At 38.6% G+C, this 22,506-nt stretch overlaps 1 long non-coding RNA gene and 1 pseudogene across 1 annotated transcript, besides 2 other annotated features; both read right to left on the bottom strand.

Moving 5' to 3' along the window:
• Positions 1-1,205: 1,205 nt before the first annotated feature.
• LINC02561 (long intergenic non-protein coding RNA 2561) lies at positions 1,206-6,453 on the bottom strand. The gene is made up of 2 exons (NR_149060.1): positions 6,415-6,453; positions 1,206-1,902 (listed from the first exon to the last, which is right to left on the bottom strand). It is a non-coding gene; the product is annotated as a long intergenic non-protein coding RNA 2561 (long non-coding RNA).
• Positions 6,756-7,955: an enhancer, noted in NCBI's record as "MED14-independent group 3 enhancer chr10:5313502-5314701 (GRCh37/hg19 assembly coordinates)". NCBI's record gives its function as "activates an origin of replication core promoter dependent on BRD2, BRD4, P300/CBP and CDK7 cofactors, and independent of MED14, by STARR-seq in HCT116 cells {active_cell/tissue: HCT116}" and the evidence as "EXISTENCE:reporter gene assay evidence [ECO:0000049][PMID:35650434]".
• AKR1C7P (aldo-keto reductase family 1 member C7, pseudogene) lies at positions 10,423-21,142 on the bottom strand (annotated as a pseudogene).
• Positions 19,683-19,977: an enhancer, noted in NCBI's record as "tiled region #4527; HepG2 Activating non-DNase unmatched - State 11:FaireW, and K562 Activating DNase matched - State 5:Enh". NCBI's record gives its function as "activates a minimal TATA promoter and a strong SV40 promoter by Sharpr-MPRA in HepG2 and K562 cells {active_cell/tissue: HepG2 | K562}" and the evidence as "EXISTENCE:reporter gene assay evidence [ECO:0000049][PMID:27701403]".

The raw sequence follows: 22,506 nt of genomic DNA on the forward strand, positions 1-22,506 counted from the left end.
CCATAATTTTGGAACACATGCCAATTACATATTTATACAAATACAGCCCAAAGATAACCAAACACCATTTCATGTTTGACAATACTTCCTGTATAATTTTTACACCAAGTGAGCCAAATTTCATTTTTAGATTTTAGGGAACCTAATATCTTAAAGGATTAATTAGGTCTGAAAAAGAAATAATTTATAATTTGATTTGGAAAGTTTGTCAAATATCAATGGTTTAAAACACTTGATATTACAGGTCATTGTAAAATAAGTCATTCATTTAACCAAAGTGATAACACAAGGATTCCAAAAAAAGGCAAAAACCTTTTTTCTTTGAGAGAGAAGACTTAATTTTCCAAACTATAAGCCCTAATAAAAACAGTGTGATACCAATTAAATCTGTTTTTCAAAATTTTATTAACAATTTATGAACTTTTAATCTTGACAATAGGATATAACTTTCTTAAGCCTTTTATAACCTTTATAACCTTTATTAAGGAGTCAGTTAATGCTTCACTAAAACCTTGTTAATCTGTCACAGGGGGCCATATTCTTGTCTTGCATCAGTGTGCCTTTGACATTAATGATTAATTTACAGAGAAATTGAACTTATTTTGTCTCTCAAAATTGGCCCTTTCAATCTCACACACCCACCTCTTCCACAATAGTCCTGGGGCCTTGAGGAGTTGAATAGCTTTTATTTCTGGCCCTATGTCTCAGGAATGCAATTTATTTTGATTGGCATCTTCTACTGCGCCTGAAGATGAGGCTTTAATTGTTGTCAGTGTTTAAGATGTAGCAGGACTTGGTGTCCTTTATAGATCCAGGAGTCAAAGCCCTGTAACTCAATGTCACAAGGACTTTAAAAGCACATACAGAAAGATATACAGATGTAATAACCTTACTTTTTTAAAAATTTGTTCTAATCTCAGTTTTTTTTACATTCTAAGCAAACCAAAACTTAATGATAATGGCATAGGAATTCTCTCAATAAACTGTAAAATCTCTTAGGCCATTTACCAAAAGGCAAAAGAAAAGACTTTCTGCACTGCACGGAATATTATGCTGGAAGAAAAAATCTCCTTTAGACTTTGAAGAAAAATTGTTGAGTAGACTCCAGAGGACATGAAAGCCATTGATGTCCTCAACAGAAATTTCCAATATGCTAAGTTACAATTGTAAGTGATGCCTGCAGATTCTTTCACAGGCTGTTTCTGTAGTATGCAGACAAACAGAGGAATAAATCTTCCCTAAATCAGAGGGACAGGCCTAATTTCAGGAATAGGCATGAAACAGGAGCTTCCCTGTAGCCCTCAGACCAGAGGTTTCCTCCAGGGCTCAATCTCTGACCCAACAGGAATATGAGTTCCTAACTGAAACTGCCAATGTTTGCACCATTGTAAATCCACTTCTTTGATGCCCTCACTAATTATTAAAATAACATGCAAATTATAGAAAATTTAGAAAATACAAGGGAAAAGAGAATGTCACTGACAGTTTCTACAGGGTCAATGAAGGGGGTCGAATGCAGAAGTAAAGACAAAGACGAAAAGACCTATTTTGAAAGAGGGGGTCAGGGGCTCCTTGCTTCTAGAGAGCAAAGGCAGCCCTGAGTTTCTACAGTCTTTCATATTTGTTAGGTAGAAAGAGCAGGGAGGGAGAGCTAATGGTTGGTCCACTGCTTGATTTATCACAGGTCCACATAATTGCTTTCTTTGTACAACAGGCTTCAGATGTTCCTATAGATAATCACAAGGAACACTGTGCATGAGGCCTGACTGCCCTCAGCACCCCTTCTGGCGGCAGACACAGTTATCAGTTTTCCAACATCCTGCTTTCATAAGAACAGTTTTCTGTTTGCTCATATAGCCTCCAGTGGTATACTGAGTTGGTCACAACTCTCATTCTTTCAGCCTGTAACAAGAGAACAAAAATAAGCTGTAATATTCCCATTGAAAAATACTTAATGTGTATCCACCTACATGATTTTCCTATACAAATGTGTATGTTTGGAGTTTTTAGGACTTTTAAAAAATTATTTTTTTAACTTTTATGTTCAGGGATACATGTGCAGGTTTGTTATATAGGTATGCTTATTACCTGGGTGACTAAATAATTTGTACATCTCCTGCCATGACATGAAATTTACTCATGAAACAAACCTGCACATATACCCCTGAACTTAAAATAAAAGTTGGAAAGAAAAAGATGAAAAAGAATGGTTCAAATATGATGAAAGACATGAATCTACAAATACAAGAAACTTGAAGATCTGCAGAGAGAATACACTGAAAAAGACCCAGACCCACATACATTATAATCAAACTCTCAAAAGCCAAAGACAAGGAGATCATTTGAAAAGCCGCAAGAGAAACATAACTCATGAGGTACAAGGAATTCTGGATGAAGTTATCAGGAGATTTCTTATCAGACACCTTGGAGGGCATATGAGATTATATATATTTTTTAATTGGTAAAAGAAAAAAGAAAACTTGCCAACCAAGAATTCTGTATCTGACAAAAATGACCTTCAGAAATTGGGAAGTTATAAAGACAATGTGATATAAACAAAAGCTGACAGAGCTCATTGCCACTAGAACTACTCTACACGAAATGCTTAAGGGAGTAATTCACTATGAAATAAAAGAATGTTAGATTAGATGGTTATGTAAAGTCGTATCAAGTATAAAGACCTCTCATCAAGGTAAATATGGGACAAAATACAAAAACATGTATTTTTGAAAGTTTTGTTTATACTAGCTTTCTGTTCAAGTTTTAAAATTTGGCTGAGTGCAGTGGCTCATGCCTGTAATTCCAGCACTTTGGGAGGCCAAGGCAGGTGTATCATGAGGTCAGGAGATCAAGACCGTCCTGGCTAACATGGTGAAACCCCATCTCTACTAAAAAGTATAAAAAATTAGCCAGGCATGGTGGTAGGCGCCTGTAGTCCCAGCTACTTGGGAGGCTGAGGCAGGAGAAGGGCATGAGCCTGGGAGGCGGAGCTTGTAGTGAGCCAAGATTGTGCCACTGCACACCAGCCTGGGCAACAGAGCAAGACTCTGTCTCAAAAAAAAAAAAAAATTTAAAATTCAAATGTGTACAAATAACTATAAATCTATGTTAACATGTACACAATGTATGAGGTTGTAATTAGTGACATCAGTAATGTGAAGTTGAGAGAAACACAGATGTGGAAAAGGGGAATTTATGTACAGAATTAAATGTGTATTGATTTCAAAGGAGATTTTATAACTCTAGGATGTTTTATGTCATTTTCATGGTAACCACAAAGAAAACAATTATAGAATATACACAAGTGAAAATGAGAGGGAAATCCAAGTGTCCCTAAAAATCAATCAGTGACACACACAAAAAAATGTTAGTAATGGAGGATATGAAGAACAAAATGCTATAGACATACAGGAAAAGAAAAATATTAAAATGCAAAATTAAGTTGCTGTCACTAATTATAGTTATCTGTCATTTAATGATAAGAATACATTCTGAGAAATGCATTTTTAGGCAATTCAAGCATCATGTGAACACCATAGAGTGAACTTACATGAATCTAAATGGTATATTCTACTATAGGCTTTCTGGTCTAGACCATTGCCTGTAGGCTATAAACAGTAGAGTGCAGCATGTTCCTCTACTGAATACTATAAGGCAATTGTAACACAATGGTATTTGTGTACATAAACATATAAAAGGAGCAGTAATAGGTTTTGTAATCTTATAAATCCACTGTTGTATATATGGTCAATCATTGACCAAAATGTTGTTATGCAGCACATGAATATACTTTAAATGTAAATGGATTAAACCCCCACACCAAAAGGCAGATCAATTTGCAAAATGGATTAAAAGAAACAAGATCCAACTATATACTCAGCACTAGAAACTCAGTTTGCATCTATAGATGTGACTAGTATGAAAGTGAAAGACAGAAACAGATATTCTATAAAAACAGTGACAAAAAAGAGCTGTGGTGGCTATACTAGGACCAGGAAAAATAAAATTTAGTCAAAAACTGTGATAAGATATAGACAACATATTATATACAAGCATATCTCAGAGATATTGCAAGTTCAATTCTAGACTACTGCAATGCAGCAAATATGACAATAAAATGAGTCACACAAATATTTAGATTTCCCAGTACATATAAAGTTATGTTTACACTATACTGTCATATATTTAGTGTGCAATAGCATTACAGCTAAAGAAAAAAATATGCATGCATTTGTTAAAAATATTTTATTTCTGAGAAATGCCAATAGTCATCTGAACCTTCAGCAGGTCATAATCTTGTTGATAGTGGAGGTTTTAGATATGATGTCGATGCCTCCTGACTGACCAGGGTGGTGGTTACTAACGGGTGAGGTGGCTGTGGTCATTTATTTAAAATAAAATAAAATAAAATAAAGTTTGCTGCATTGATTGAGTCTTTCATGTGAGATTTCCTCTTTCATTTACACACACACACACACACACACACACACACACACACTATATGTTTTGTTTCTTGGGACAACCCTGACTAATATAGATTTTGGTATCTGGAGCAGTTCTAGAGGAATAGAATTTTGAGTTTCCTGAATTGGTTTTGGGGTTTCTGGCATTGTCAGTCTAATCAGATTAGACTTGAAAATGCGAAGGACTTTATTTCCAATAATGAAGAGAGCACTGATAGTCCATGATATGAAGTATTTATAGAGTGCACAAAACATCTGCATTGATACTCTACTTAACAACTTAAAAGAGGCAAAAAAAATAGTGACTCTGTATGTGATACTTTCAAACATTTGTGGAAAACTAAGAATAGAATGATGTTGGTTAGTTGCACCTCATATTGCTGGAAAGAGGAAGAAAAAAAAGGGTGAGCTCAGGAATTCAAAATCCTGGATTAAGCACACATGACCTAAGAGCTTCTAGGTGTGCGCTGAGTGAGAATCCTATGTCTTACAGCCACAGGGCTGAAATTGCTGAAAATCAAATGCAAGTGACACCAAAAGCACAGTCAACAGAGGAAAACATAGATGAATGAGACTTCATAAATTAAAACATTTTTGCATCAAAAGAGACTACTAAGCATCAGAAAGCAACCTATAGAATGGGATAAAAATATTTAGTTGCAAGTCATATTTCTGATGAAGCTGAATACCATGAAATTTCCTGGCAGATGCCCAGCACTCTCAACTTCATCCCAAGCTGCCTTTACTCAGCTGCCAAGACACTTCTTGGTGTCTTCAGACTTCTGTGTGAAGTTTCTCCAGAGTTAAACCCTGCATGTACCCCTAACTTGATGTAAAATTTGGATTATGATATCTTCTGATTGTACACAGATCAGACTTCCTGTTCTATCATGATTTCCCTTCTCTCCTGAATTCAGAATATTTTCTGACAGTCTTTGGATTTATACTTTGATCTAATCCTGGTGACTCCCAACTAGACTAATTGGAAATGCTACAACTGGTGAAAATTTTGTTTCCAATGTCCTTGTTATAGGAACAGAACTATGTTGCTTCATTCGCATCACGCCAGGCAATTCAGTATATTCTCTCAACGATATTCAAAAGTAAACTCTGTTTCTCTTCTCTGTGTGTGTGTGTGGATTGGTTTGGTTTTATGAGAAGGAGTCGTCCAGGCTGGAGTGCAGTGGTGCCATCATAGCTTACGTAGTCTCAGCCACCTGGATTCAGGTGATCCTTCCACCTCAGCCTCCCTATTAGCTGGAACCACAGGCGCATGCCACCTCGCCCGACTAATTATTTTATTATTTGTAGAGACAACGTCTGTGGCCCAGGCTGGATGTGTGTTTTAAGACTAAAATCTTTTAGACACCACCAAAATAAAACAACTCTGAAGTGCCTGTGACACAGGATAATCCCTAGGATCATGTGAAGGTGGACAAAGTACCCTGGTTACTTCCCTCTCTCTCCACATCCGTTTCCTCCCTTCTGTATTTTGGGGATACTATCCACTCCTCTTTCGTGCTACTGTGCTCCAGGAGAAATAAAAACATGGGACAGAATAAATCTTTCTGGGTTCACACTAACAGCCTCTCAGGGTTGGAGGGGAGCTTGAAGGCCAAATTAAACCAAGTAATTGGGGAAAGTATCAGACAGCAACAGGAATAAAATGTGAAGTCCATGGATAAACACCTTTATTATGCAAGGAGTTTATCCTAATCTATAAGAAAATGTCTGGTTCTCAAAAACAGAATTCAACAGACTTTTCCTCTGGCAAACCTGCATTTCAAACATCACTGGGAATTCATCCAGTTGTCTTCAATGAGAATCATTTCAACATGTCCTGCAGCAAATAACTCCACTGTTGGTGCTTTGATAGTTAGAAAACTCCTCTATATGGTGCAAATAATTTTCAATCCACAAATTCAGATGAGTAAGAAGAAAGAAAAGTTACCTGTTTTCTTGAAATTAAACTTCTTTAGGCTGTTGCAACCTTGATCCTCCTTGTCAAATGCCAGCTGAGGATCTGATGGCCTCACAAACGGACCCAAGGTTTTGGGTGGTCCCTCCGGGTGTCCTGCTCTGTTTCTGTGGAGACACTCATGGCTCCCAGAGCTTAGCCCCATTCAGGCCCAGCTGCTTTGCCTTCCGTGAACATCACTCCAGCTCCAGAGGGAAAAGGGATGGTTTCCACCTTCAGATATCAAAGTCTAAATAGGGATATGGGAGAGCAACAAATGAAAAAGGCTTAACATAATGGCCTGTAAAAGTAAAGAAGGATGGTCATTGGGTGGTAACTGTGCTAGGAGACAAAACCCCACCATCCAGACATTTTTCTTCCTCTCCAGGCTATGGAGATTTTCTCTCAGACAGTGTCTGGAAGATCCCACAAAATGACACAAAAATATTGGCATTCACAACAGAAACCAATCAAGGACTCTTGCTCAACTGCACTGAAAGTTAGAGTAACTTATCCTATGTGGTCACAAACTTTGGAAGTTGTCTCTTAACACAGCTGTGCTTGTCATCTCTAAAGCACTCTGCTTGGTCCTCCCAGACCAAGATAAACTCTAACCTCACAGAGAGCGGCTTAAAGTTGACAGTAGGCTCAGTACATCTGAGCAAGGCAACCCTGTACTCACTGTCCAATAAACTTAGTATTTCTTCTGGCTAACTCAAGGGAAATTATAGTGCTGATAATAGCAATGACACCAACGCTACTAGCTAAGATTTTGAGTTTCTATTCTGTATCAGGCAAGACTATCAGGGAATCCTCTCAAATACCCTACAAAGTAGATTTAACTTGTAACTTATTTTACAGAAAAGGGAACAAAAAGGGTTACTTACTTGTCCAAGGTGATTTGAAGAAGAAACTGTGTCCTGAATATGAGCTCTCAGTGAGTGAAGATTCCTAAAGACTTTTTTAGATCCATGCCTTTTGTGCATTATTTGTTATTTTAATATCACTCAATACTATAGCCGACCCCTAGAATCTACTGGAGCCATGCTGTCAGGATGACTCAGCAGTTTTCACACATTCTGACCACTCTTGTATAGGTACAAAATGCAGGGTGCATTGTAAAGAGAAAATTATTAACTTGGATGGTTGTTTGGATTAGAGTACAGGCAGGTGCAAAAAAAGTAATTCAAATTGGTTTAAAATCCACAAAAATGTGTTAGTCCCATAACAAGAAGTCCAGAGGGAGGGTAAACTCTGGGTGTCATCCATGAGAGTGCAGAATTTCTCTCATCTTCTCCTTTTTCTTCTTCTGTGTATTGATGTCGTCCTCAGGCTGGGTGGAGACTCCACAGCAATTTCACACCTCACCTTGCAATGGGACAATATCCCCTTGAAGAAGAGAAGCAACCTCTCTTCAAAGGCTCCTTCTTAGAAGTGAGAGAAACTCTCCTAGAAGTACCCAGCACAGTGCTTCTTATGTGGCGTTGGCTAAGGCTGGGTCACAACTCTTTATCCACAGTGACTCCTATGCCAACCACAATGAAATTAGCATGGCTGACCTAAACAAATTATTTAAAGTAAAACTGATGTTGGAAAGGCAATCATCTTGACTGCTGAAACCATAGTGAGAAAGTGCTTTTCTTTAAATTAGATGTTTCCAAACTTACTTGTGTAGAATAAGTGGAGTCTGATCAATTTCAATTTAGTATATTATTTAGCCTAATTTTCATACGTAAACTTCTATGGGTATTGAAAGAATGCAAAGAGGAAAGAAGAGAGACCTAATGACAACTCTTGATGAATCAAGAACTTGATAAATCAAGGTATAGTAGAAACTGCAGAGTTAAGAGACTTCATTAATATAAGATGTGTCCAACTGAAGGTTTCATAGATGAAGCACGTTTAAGTAGTAAACATGGGATCCATTGCCTGAAGTATAATCTAGACATCAGTAGAAATTCTGAAGAGTTGAGAATGTTGGCAAACTGAAAAGCTTGAGTTTTCCATATGAACAACAAAAGACAATGTCAACAGATCCTGAGAATAAATTTTAGAATAAAATAATGAAGGGCATGTATCCAGAAGGAGGAAATACAATAGGGTCAAGATTACATCAGCTTTAAAGAAACAGGTATTTATTCATGTGGTTTTCCTCTTGATATCTGAGATAAAAGTCTAGAGTTTCAGGATCCAGTGGCTGGACATAGAATTCTTTCTATTACAAAAATTAGAAAACTAAAGTTTAGTTGCTCTAAATTTACTTACAAAACTAGTGTAGTAGGCTCAGTAATGGCCCCCAAAGACATACATGCCCTTATCTCTGGAACCTGAAAATATGTTACCTTAATGGCAAAAAGGGCTTTCTTTTTTATAATTCGTTCTTTTTAATTGAGTGTCATTAAAGAGTACTTTCTAAGCAGTTAAATGCACCAGGAGCTGTATTAACATAGGGCCACAGAGATGAGTAAGAGGAGACATTCACAGTCTCATGAGGCAGATCACAGATTATACTTAAGGCCTGTGAGTATAGAAAGGTTGCTTTCACATTTTTCTCATTGAAAATGTCTTTTCTTGGAAGCCTGGTATGGTTTTACAAAAAGAAGGGGGACCTTTCAGATGTGTTTTGGAGACTGAGTATTTTCCTAACTAAAATGATATTTCGCCCTGTTTCTAAACTCCCCTCCAAACTTGGCTCTGTTTGATTAGTCATCTTTCTCCTCAACCCTGAGATCCTGCCACAGTTGATCCAATGGAACGTCATGTTTGTGAATAAACTAAAGTGAAGTTATGTTGGGTTCCTTAGAGGTGGGCTTCAGATGGACGAAGATGACACTGGAGTAAGAGTCTTGCCTCGAAGATCCGGAGAAATTCCAGAGGATCTTAACTTGGTGGAGGCCACTGGGGACACCTCAGTCACTAGCACTGAGGGTCTATTAATTTCATAATTCATTTGTCATTCAGCTTAGTGAGATTATATAGCTGAGGAAATGGGAGTTGTGAAGGTAAAGAAAGCCAAGGAAGACAAAAATTTGGAAGAAATAGTTGGTGTCTCGGAAAAGGAATGCCACAGTAAGGAGAAATGTCACTGGACACTTAGGGGAGGCCATGGAAGCAGGGCCCACTGTGACTTCCCTAGGACATATGCACATTTGCTTTCATGGACCAATGCTCTATACAAATATTAAAATTAAGTCTTACATTGCCTTGGTATAGACATGAAGATAGACGAGGCTGGATTCATTATTACATATTCATCATTGTTGTATTCTCTTTTTCTTCTGACTTTAAAATAAATTAAAGCTAGAACATTATCATGGGCTCCTATAAGTATGATGGGTCATAGACACCGTGCCTTCTATTCTAATAGGCAGTGGCCCTGCGTGCAGGACCGGGCACAGGTAGTAAGGGCACTAAAGAAGTGCATTCATGGCGGGGCACAGTGGCTCATGCCTGTAATTCCAGCACTTTGGGAGGCCGAGGTGGGCAGATCACGAGGTCAGGAGTTCGAGACCAGACTGGCCAACATGGTGAAACCCTGTCTCTACTAAAAATACAAAAATTAGCTGGGCGTGGTGGCAAACGCCTATAATCCCAGCTGCTCAGGAGGCTGAGGCAGGAGAATTGCTTGAACCCGGGAGGCAGAGGTTGCGGTGAGCCGAGATCGTGTCACTGCACTCCAGCCTAGGCAATAGAGCAAGACTTTGTCTCAGAAAAAAAAAAAAAAAAATTGAAGAAGTGCATTCACAATGGTGCAGATGTCAACAGTTTCACTTACTGACTCACATTCCTGTTGGGTCACAGATTGAGCCACATGAGGACTATAGGGAAGCTCCTGTTTCATACCTATTCCTGAAATCTGGCCTGCCTTCCTGATTTAGGGAAGATGTATTCCTCTGTTTGCCTGCATATTACAGAAAACAGCCTGTGAAAGAATCTGCAAGCATGACTTACAATTGTAACTTAGCATATCGGAAATTTCTGTTGAGGCCATCAGTGGCTTTCATGTCCTCTGGAGTCAACTCAAAGTCAAAAACCTGAAAGGAAGAAAACACTCACATTAACCTTTCCCCAGGACAGCAGCTTCTTCCTGGGAATACAAGGCTTTCCGGGGGCAGAGGCAAGGATGGCAGTATGTAAAGTTTCTGTCCTCATTGGCCTCTAGGTGAGACCTCTTCCCCCTGAGTTCTGCTACTTTTCCATCCCACCTCCCTCCTGCTCTGCTCCACTTCTCAAAAGAAAGACAACTTATCAATCTAAGACATTTCTAGAGAATTGCTTGAGACAGAAAAAATAAATTCTTTATACTAAACAAAGGCAAATCTGGACAAAATACCTGCTTCCTTGACTTGATCACACTTGGTCAGGATTTTCCTTACTCACTTCCCCTGGAACTTGACCCAGTCTTTGACTGTGCAAGCCTTGGAACACAAGACAACCTTGCTCCAAGAATGTTTTGGCCTTAGAAAAGCATTTCTTGATCAATTGTTCCACCATACCACTTGCTCACTGCAGGCCCCCAAATACTATTTCCAGCTACTACTAAGTACTACCAAATACTACTTCCTTACAAAACAAAACAAAACAAAAAAAACAAACAACAAAAAAAACCTTTTTTGAATATATTTATCTTACTTAAGCCAAGAGTTGTTTTTATTTGAAAACACATTGACACATAGTCCCCTGATGAAGAATCCCTTAAAGCAAAGAAAAAGATATGTGGTTTAAAAAAATTAAGTTCATTATTTCATGCAGAAGATGGAAAACTCAGAGCCCTATCTATCTATCTCTCCGTCCATCTATGATATACATATCTATCTAATGTGTTTCTCTCTCTCTCTCTACCTATATCTGTCCATTATCTACCTATCCACCCATACATTTACCCATCAGTGATTCATCTTAAAAATATACTCCAGAAATGACATGGTTGTCACAGGGATATGTATTAATATGTTGAGTTAAATTGAAAAATAAAATAAAATAAGATTTTTTTCTGTATGGTAACAAGGTTTAGATTTGCCTATTTGATTTTTGTATAACTTAAAAATTTTAATCTAGAGCTACAAAGTTGTGAAACAAATACATTAGAAAATATGCTTCAAATATCATCCTTTGTAATAACTAAACTCATGTTGATTTTTCTAGCTGCCATCTTTAAATGGAAAACAGCATACATAGTCTTTCAAAATTCTTTTAGAATTCAAAACAAAGTAAATTAAAGACCACTGATTGATCTAATGGATTGGAGTGTATATGAGGAAGGCTTCAGGCAAAATCTTTACTCATTGATTTACTATTAATAATTTGGTCAGTCTATGAAATTATACCTAGCTTCCTACCAGCCCGGGGCACTGCCAGGGGAAAGGTGATAAAAGATGACCCAGAAGGAGTCACAGCATTTAGGGTCTCACAGTCCAGAGAGCACACTGACATCTTAGCAAACAATGTTAAGTTAAAAGGGAAAAGACTCACTAACAGAACCATGCCAGGCACTATTGTGGTGAAAAATGTGCTAGAGTGTCCCAATGGTTATGTATGTATGATATGTAACAAAGCAGGTAATCCTATTTGAGTTTGATCATAAAATACAAATAGAGGTTTGTCAGATAGAGATGGTGAAGGAGAGAAATGAAGGTCCTTAAAGTTCCTTACCATGTAGAACTCCTGAAACTCATGAAAATGATGGAGTTGAAATTTGCTTAGTGTCACACAACTAGTGAGTGGCAAAGCCAGCCCTAGAGGTGATAAACTTTAGGACTGTGAATCCAGTGATCTCTTCGCACTTTTCCATCCTGCCCCCTCCCTTAGCACACAGAGGAGAGAAGCACGGGCATGAATGACATATGGTGCATTCCCCCCTGGAAGAGAGATCACCCAGACCAGCGCCCATGGCTCACTTTGGAGCAACACCACTTGACCTGTACCTGGAAGTTCTCTTTGATTCTCTTCTCAGAGAAGCTCTTGGCCAGGACCACCACCCCCCCGCTGCAGCTCATAGCACAGGGCAACCTGGCCTGGGCTTCTATTGTATTTCTTGGCAATGGATTTCAAGGTTGGCTCCTCTAAGAGATATGGGCTATCTGGGTCCATCCTGGAGAAAAACAACAGATATGAAGAGTATAGATGAAAAATCTAGAGTGTGCTACCCTTTTGCCCAAAGCCCCAGACAATGAGAGAAGACACAATATAGTATGTTTCAAGGTGTCTCATAAATATTCATAGAGATTTATTCGCAATTGTGGCAAACTGGAAACAACTAAACTGCCCATCAATAGGTGAATGGATAAACAACTTGTGGTGTACATGTCCATATAATGGAATATTTCCCAGCAGTAAAATGGAAAGAACAGACACCTGCAACTACAGGAATGAATGTCACAGACAGGTTGAGCAAAAGAAGCTACACCAAAGAATATATATGACTTCTTTACATAAAGTACTACAGCAGACAAAACTAATCTAAGACCGAAAACGTTATGAACATAGTTGCCTAGAGGTGGGGAGGAATTGTCTCAGAAGGAACACCAATTAACATTTTTGGGAGAAAGTTTCCATATCATGACAATAATGTGGATTACAAAGTACATTCATTTATCAAAATTGTACAGCTAACGTATATGCATTACAGTCTATGTAAATTTCACCTTCAAATCACTTTGAAATTGTATTTGGAGTGGGGTTGGGAGAAGGCAGATATACAAATGAAACAGGAGGGAAGGAATGTTGGTGACATTGAAGCTCAGTGGTGTCACATGGGAATTCACTGCACCGTTGTGTTCACTGTTCTATGTTTGACTTGATCTAGAATGAAATGCTAAAAGTTTCTTAATCAATAGAGTTGCTGATATAGATTAACTCTTCGATACTCTTATTACCAGTTTGGGTCTCTGTGAGATGCCAGGGCCCTGTAGGCAACTAGAACAATGTCCTTGGACTTGCAGAACTCCAGGAGTTTGCTCTAGTTGAGGTAAGGGTGACATTCCACCTGTAATTTTTCAAGACCAAAAGGTGTCAGAATACATGAGCAAATAACCACATGTAAATTTTAAAATGCTTTGAAGGAATATCTAGTACTATATTAATATATGTACTATGTATTTCATATTGGTCATTTTCCCCATGCACCTTCTGAAATGCTTTCAAATTCCATCAGTGGTCATACTAACATGATAACTTACTTATTCTTTTTTTATTAGTGTTTTAAAATGATTAACATCTCTCGTGCCCAAATTATAGTCTCTAAATGACATTTCTACTCAGACAAACCAAGATTTCTTAGAAAAATGGCTAATTCTAGTTCTGACTGGGGAAGCTACAAGTTCAGCCTAGAACAGCTTACATTCTAAATGGCAAAGAACATAAAGAAAATGAGGCAAGTCAAAGGACCAAGAAGCTCAATTGAAAAGGCTCCTGCTGGTCAAAATGATGGCAAGTTGAGCAACAAAAGGCATAGTAACTACAATGGTTGGGAAAAGGACATATTTGTTAAAATTCATGAGTTCAAATGATGTTAACCAATTGTGATCAAATCTTTAGCTCTAACTTTCAATTTACAGAAAGTACAAAAGGAACATGTTAAATTGTATCACTGGATCAACCAGTATATCCTATACGGAGGAAAACTTTACAGGAATAAAAGGCTTAAGTTTTCATTAGTAAATTGAAGGAAAGAAAGAGGCAGAATGAGAATGAGGACTATGGAAGAAGAGAAGGAAGAGAAGGTAGAAGAGCAGGAGGAGAAGAAGGAAGAAGAGAAGAAAGAGAAGACAGAGGAGGCAGAAGAGGAAGAGGAGGAGAGAAGTAAAAAAAAAAAAAGAAGAGAACAAACTTATTTATTGAAAGAGTGATTTGGCCGGGATCAGTGGCTCACGCCTGTAATCCCAAAACACTGGGAGGCTGAGGCGGGCAGATCATGAGGTCAGGAGTTTGAGACCAGACTGACCGTCTCTACTAAAAATACAAAAATTAGCCAGGCATGGTGGTGCATGCCTATAGTCCCAGCTACTCAGGAGGCTGAGACAGGAGAATAGCTTGAACCCAGGAGGTGGAGGTTGCAGTGAGCCAAGATCGTGCCACTGCAGTCCAGCCTGGGTGACAGAGCGAGACTCAGTCTCAAAAAAAAAAAAAGAGTGATTTATGAGACATATCATCCAATTGCAATGTATGGGCCTTATTTCCACATCAATTTAAATGAATCAACTTTAAAAATATGATAAAATTATATTTTAGCACTCATGATATTTACTAACAACAAGAAATTATTGCTACAATTTCAAGTGGTATAAAAGTATTCTGGCAATGTTTATTTAAAGATTTAGAGATTTTTAAAATATTTTACAAAACATTTTCAGATACAATGATATCATGTCTGCTTCAAAATAATACAGAGGTAGAATTATCTACGTAACATGTTTGGTTGTGAGATAATTATTGCTTAAGTGTGATGATGGGTACATAAAAAGAAAATGATTATAACATGAGGGGATATTCAAAAAATTGATTGAAAATGTGCATTATGAAAAAACCATACATGGATTTCAAAAAAAAATGCTCCAAAATAAACTTGTACTAATTTGTTATGATGTGTCTGAACAGGATCTAGTTTGAGGCATTGAGAAAGATAAAACAACTCCCCTATCAGAAAAACATGAATTCAGCTAAATTGAAGTAAGAACAAAAATCAAATTTATTGTGAAGCATGGGTGGAAGAATGGTGAAATTATTGACTCTTTACACAAAATATATGGGCAAAATCCCCCAAAGAAATCAGAAGTTCACAAATGAATAATTCATTTGAAGAAGGAACGAGATGATGTTGAAGATGAAGCCCGCAACAGCATACCATTCACATCAATTTGCAGGAAAACAAAAATGTATCTTACTAGTGCCCTCATTAAAGAAGACCAATGATTAACAGCAGAAATGATAACCAACACCATAGATATCTCAACTGGTTCAGTTTACACTATAGTAACTGAAAAATTTAAGTTGAGTGAACTTTCCAATTCATGGGTGACGAAACTGTTGTGGCCAGATCAGCTACAGACAGGAGCAAAGCTTTCCAAGGAAATTTTAGGTAAGGGAGATCAAGATCCTGAAGCATCTTCAAAGAATTGTAAAATGAGGTGAAACATGGCTTTGCCAGTACAATCCTGAAGACAAAGCAAAATCAAAGCAATCGCTACCAAGATGTGGAAATGATCCAGGCAAAGCAAAAGGAGATTAATCAAGAGAAAAGGTCATAGCAAGTTTTCTGGGATGCTCAGGGCATTTTGCTTATTGACTCTCTGGAGGGCTAAAGAAGAATAGCAACTGTTTTGAGAAAATTAGCCAAAGTTTTAGTATGAAAACACCCACAAAAAGCTTCACCAGAGATTATTTTTCACCATACCAATGCTCCTACTCGTTTTTTTCATCAAGCAGGGGCAATTTTGCAAGAATTTTGATAGAAAAATCATTAGTCATCCACCTTACAGTCCTGGTTTGGCTCCTTCTGAGTTCTTTTTGTGTCTGAATCTTTAAGAATCTTTAACAGAGACTCTTTTTCTTACAGTTAATAATGTAAAAAATAAAAAGAATACATTGACATGATTAAATTACCAGGACTCTCAGTTATTTAGAGATGAACTAAATGGCTACTATTTGCTATTAGTTCACATACTTAGTTCATATACTCATAAGCATATACTTATGCTTTAAAAACTATACTGAATTTGGTAAAGCTTATTTTGAAAAATAGTTCATATATTTATAAACATCTTTTAATTCCATTTTTCCATGAACTTTTTGAACTCCTCATATTCTCTATATCTTTTTTTAAAAATTTACAAAAATAAAAACTTTTAAAAGTTATAAAAGAAATATTTTCATGTCAGATATAGGAAAAAATACAACAAGGTCACCTAGAATTTTACCAGAACCACGTAGCAACCTCTAATCATTTTGTGTGCTTAATTTTAGTCATTTTTATTATTCTTAAGATGTTAAATAATTTAAAATTAGTATATGTACTGAATAGTATAGATTAGCATATTTTATAAGAATCCTGATTTTGTTCAGTTATTTCTCCCTTCCTCCATATTCAGTTTCTGTGCCCCAGAAGAAGCCAGTTCACACTTTTGTGTCACAAACTTCCTTTCTCTTACATTAATTGGTTTATGAAAGGCACAATATGTTGTTCAAGCCAATGAAACATGAGAAAAAAATTGCTAGAAAACTTCTGTGACCATTATTCTTCTCTCTTTAGAAACAGCTCCAGAAAACCCTCTCTGCTGTGCTGAACATGAATGAGGAGACCTATAGCCCAATTGCCATGAGGAGCCATTCTGAAGCGATCAAACATGGAGCACAGACAAAATATATTCATTTCAAGAGAGTATCTTACAGCTTCTAGAGCAACAAAGACCCAAACTTTCTATAAATGAATCAACTTTAAGCCCGTTTGAATTGAGTTTTCTGTTTCTTGTGGCTTAAAAGCATCCTGAAAAACAGAATAGTATATAATTCTCTGATATACTTTTGATATAATATTATAACATAAGCTTTCCCTTTTTGCTATTAGTCTTCATAATATCCTCTCAAAGATCTCTATGAAGCCATCAGAACTTTAATTAATTCCTCATTTGTGGATATTCAAAATTCTAATCATTTGGTTTTAGAAATTATATATATATGTTAATATATATTATATTACTATATAATATAGATGGGAGTTTTTAACACGTCTTGTCTACAAATATCCCTAGAAATATAAAACTAAGACAGAGTATACATTTTTGAACTGCTTTTTGTATAATTATCAAAATGGTCTACACAAAGCTTTAAACTTAACAATGTCATAAATCATGTTTGATATTTGGCTATATTGGATGTTTCTTTTAAAATCATATGTTTTGATTACGATTTATACACCTCCTCTTTCTCACTCCTTTCCTCTGATCTGGCTTTAGTGCTTACCACTCTGGATCAGGCCCTGCATGGCTTCCCATAACCTCCATGCCACTAAATCCAGCCACTTTTATCTTTCCCTATTGGAGTGTTTGCTCACAGTAGGACCTACCTATGTCTGACTCAAGCCACTTCAATGCTCTTTCTTTGGCTCCCGACACCACAGTCTCCTGGCTGTCTCCACCTGTCTGGCAGCTCCTGTTCAATCTCCTTGCCAGTGCCTCTCTGCCTCACCCTCTCCTGTGAACTTTCCTGCCTGTTCCTTTTCATTCCATGAACTTTCCCTAGGAGAGCTAATCCTTGTCTGTGAGTTGTTACCATCTATACAGCAATAATTTCAAACACTGTGTCTCCACCTCCACCCCCTGAGCTCCAGACCAAAGCGACCACCTCCCAACTCTGCCTCCGCTTGGCTGTCTCATAGGAACTTCACACCCATCCCCAAAGAACTGAAGTCAGGCTCTTCTACTCCACTCAAACTGTTTTTCTCTAGTATTTTCTATTTCTATGAAAGTAGCTGTCATCTACACAGGTGATATAAAGCCAGAAACTTGGAAGCATGATTAAGCAGGAAGTGTGTAAAGAGCAGAAAGTCAGAGAAGGCCCCGGTGGGCTAACGGCTCACCTGGTTGCAGGTGGGCTTGTACTTGAGCCCTGGCTTGTTGAGGATGAGTTCCAGCAGTTTGTGATTGAAATTGGACACCCCGATGGACTTGGTTAAACCTGCTTCTTTGCACTTCTCCAGGGCCTGGGGAGGGAGGAAATGGGTGGTAGACCTTTACTGTAGTTTGTCCATTTCGTTTGTCACTGACTTTTTATAAACCGAAAATCTGATTTATGATATACTACGATTATAATGAATCAAACCGTTTTATCCCTTGAATAAATTAATTTTGAATGCCTTTTCTTGTTCTGCGTACATATTTGTCTCCTTAATTCTATTACATGCACACTGGGGACACCAAATAAACATAAAGCTGCTTTTCCATTTCCTCTTACCTATCCCACTCTCTTCTATGGTACCTATTTTGCTGTTAGGATGCAATAGTTAACAAACTACACCATAGTCAAGGGCAAAAGAAACTCTCAGCTTTTCCTCTAGTAAAGGGTTTGTTGCTACCTCTTTCTACAACGATAAAAATAAATGAATGGTATAGGTGTTGCAAGGGCGGGTTCACTGTCCTGCACCTTCCACCCTCCTGCTGAGTCAGGCCGCAGCTATTCCTCCTCTGTGATGTGTTTCTGTCCCGGGATAAAGCGCTGACTCCTTTTGTGCTTCTCTATGCTGACTCCTCTTTAGGGCTCATGTCCTCAACCTGATCTCAGGGGTAAAGCTGCTTCCATGTCTATGTAGAGCCATAGAAGTTAAAATTAAAAATGGACCGTAGGGGTTATCTCATTCCACTCCCTCACTTCAACGATGAGAACACGGAGGCGCAGAGAAGTTCCACGTCTGAGGTCAAACAACTGCTGGAGCAAAACCCCATCTCTTTTGACCCCTCCTTCTGTGATTCCAACCTCACCACACAGTGCCACCTGGTGTCTGCAGCAGAACATACCTCCCATGTGTCACGAAGATCCACAGTATCAAAAATAATGTTTCCACTGGCATCCTTAGGCAGCAATTCCTCCCCAGGCTGGAAAACAGAGGATAAAGAAGAAGGTTTTCTATGAGAATTCCCTTTCTGGCGCCTAAGGAGCTTAGCCACACCACTTTCAGAAGGCTGTGATTATTAATCTGAACATGCATGCGTGCATGTGTGTGGATGTATGTGCTTGTGTGTCTGCATGTGCAGACGTGTGTATGTGTGTGCATGTGTGTGTGCCTGTGTGCATATGTGTGTGTGCATGAGTGTATGTGTGTGGATATGGATATGTGTGGATGTGCATGTGCGTGTTTGGGGTGAGGGTTGGTAAGAGAAGACATGGGAAAAAAGAAAGATGAGAACAGTCTGAGAGACTGTAGCAAAACACTTTTTCTCCAGTTACCTGCAGGCTCCTTCCTCCATACACCCCCACACTTCACTAAGAATGCCGTCCCTACAGTTGAAATTTATTTCATTTCTGAAGGACAGGCTGGTGTGGAAGACAGCGCTTACCATAACTATTGATCAGTGTGTTTAGCCCCCGTTTATGCTCACCCAACTTGGATAATGAGGACATCAGATGTGCTCAGCCAATGTCCACTGTGATGAGAGGTTGGATCACTGAAGCCCAAAGGAGTCCAGTTGTGCCACATGTGCCATCCCATGTACCTCTCTCTCCTGTGGGCTGAGGGTACATACGGGAGAGACCCTCACCATAAAGAGGTGGAGATTTCACGTTGTATCTCTGTAGTCTGTAGTAACCTAATAGCTCAGAACCTACACTCAGGAACACAAGCACTAAGAAATGCAGGGCAATGCCCTCATGTTTCTAGCATAGAGGAAGTGAGATCATCGAACCTGCATCTCGCTTAAGGCTGGGGGATGAGCACAGACAGAAAATTGCAATGTCATTCGGCTGTGAAGGAGACTCGTGAATGATTTAGCAATTCTATGCAATTCACTCAAACCTACCCCTCTCGGAAAGAACCCAGGAAATCAAGCTGGAATGAGACAATGGAGGTGCTAGTAACAGTGATGAAACTGTTTGGGGCATAAGAAGGAAAAAACAAAAGCTGACCTTCATAGCCAATGGATTGTGGATAATGAAGAGATCGACATAGTCCAGTTGAAGTTTCTTCAGTGACCCTTCCAGGGCTGGGCGAACTAATTCTGGTCTAAAGAAAGTTGTCCAAAGCTGCAGTGAACAAAAGAAATAAAAAGTAGCTTATGATTTCACACACTTGGGGACCAAAATTAAACATAACAGAAATTGACACATGAGTAACAAAACACTGTGGTCTCAAACTAGAAGAACTGGGGCTACATTTGTATTATTCAGGGTAAATTACATCCTTGATGAGATGCTGAGATTTACTTGAATGACTGCAATGTAAGAAAACTGTGAATAAAACTTAGATGGAGCAGGAAAATCAACTTTAATGCATCAAGGGTTAATGGCATCGTCCTCTGAGAGCAGTCGAGAAATGTCAGGACACGGGGAATGGAATCTACTGTCCTGTATAATGAATTCCTCAAAACAATTCTGCTGAGAGATGCATTCTAAAAACAAGTTGTCGTCAGTGTAAACAGGCATAGGCTGTATCGCCAGTAACCAAGGCTTTATTTACATTGGAAGAAAGGTTTTCCACCCTAGGAAAATGTTATAACATTCAGGAAACTCAATGCTGAGTTGAAAAATAAAAAAGTATTTCCCAGTCTGGCTCCCTTTTCTGAATAACATCCCAACCTCACTTGATACGTCCTGAGAACAATTACTGAACAATCAACGGAGTGGCCCCAGAATGCCTTGGGTAATCGTATAACAGTTACTTAAGTATTATCGATCTCATCTCATATATGAATAATACCTGCCGCTCAGAGACATTGAAGAACAGTGTCCCACCTTTCACACATCTCAGAGAAAAGCCTTTTCTATGTTTTCATAACGTGCCTTCACAATATTAGGTAAGAAATACATTGTTCCTATGTTTTGATAATGTGCCTTCACAATATTAGGTAAATACATTGTTCTGAGACCACATTGTTTTTCTAAATAATACATCTGAACTGACGGTGGCCTCTGGCCACTGCACACACAGAAATTTCACCTCAGTGGTGTAGAAAATGTCCTCTCTCTTCACAGGGCCATCAGCAATCTTCTCTCGAATGGCCTTTCCGACCTCCTCCTCGTTTTGGTAGAAGAACGCCGCATCAATGTGACGGAAGCCTGCATCAATAGCCACTTCGGTGGCTTCACCAGCCTTGCTCTTGGGGGTCTATAAAACAGGAGTAAGAGGAGTCAACGATCTGCCTGACTCAGAGAAAATCCATGTATTTCCACAATGGCATTTTCCTTTTTTTTTTTAATCTTTTACTTTGGGTTCAGGGACACATGTGCAGGTTTGTTATATGTGTAAACTGTGTCACAGGGGTTTGGTGTACAGATTGTCACCTGGGTAATAAGCATAGTACCCAATAAATATTTTTTCTGATCCCCTCCCTCCACCATCCTCCAACCTCAAAAGGTCCCGATGTCTGTCGTTCCCCTCCCAGTATCCCTGTGTGTTGTTCAGCTCCCACATGTAAGTGAGAACGTGCAGTATTTGGTTTTCTGTTTCTGTGTTAGTTTGATTAGGATAATGGCCTCAAATTTCATCCATGTTGCTGCAAAGGACGTGATCTAGTTCTTTTTTGTGGCTTCACAGTATTCCACGGTGTTTATGTACCACATTTTCTTTATCTGGTCTACCACGGACGGGCATTTAGGTTGAGCCCATGTCTCTGCTATCCAATAGCATCTTCATAGTCTGCTGGCCTCCTGCTCCCCTTTTGATCATTTGGGTTTCCATGATAGACTTGCACACTCCGAGGACAGCAACTAACCTCCTGTAAGCTTCTACTCCCAAATAAATTAGTGGAATTGGCTTCACCCTGGAGCATGGAAAAATCACATCTCATTCCATATGAATCAATTGTACAAGAATAACCAACGGGAAAACTTCTGATACTGGGAGAATTTTTCTAAGGCACTCAATAGGAAGGACAGGTCAATCGACACACACACACACACACACACACACACACTACATACATATTACAGCTGACCCTTGAATAACACAGGTTTAAACTGCACAGTCCCACTTATACATGAATTTTTTTCAATCAAAATTACAAAGTGTGCCTACTTCTCCTGCCTCCCTTCCCCCTCCTTCACCTCTTCTGCCTCTGCCACCCCAGAGACAGCAACCCCAACCCTTCATCTTCCTCCTTCTCCTCAGCCTACACAGTGTGAAGAAGACAAGGATGAAGACCTTTGTAATGATCTACTTCCACTTAATGAGTAGCAAATATATTGTCTCTTCCTTATGATTTTCTTGAGTTTCTTTTCTCTAGCTTACTTTTCTCTAGCTTGCTGTATTATAAGAATACAGTATACCATACATATAACATGCAAAATAGGTGTTAATCAACTGTTTATGTTATTAGTAAGGGTTGCAGTCAATAGTTGGCCTGGTTTTACCCAGGACACAGACGTCACCTCACCAAGCTGGCG

This window comes from Homo sapiens, chromosome 10 (genome assembly GCF_000001405.40).
Source record: "Homo sapiens chromosome 10, GRCh38.p14 Primary Assembly".
In the NCBI taxonomy this organism is placed as follows: Eukaryota; Metazoa; Chordata; class Mammalia; order Primates; family Hominidae; genus Homo; species Homo sapiens.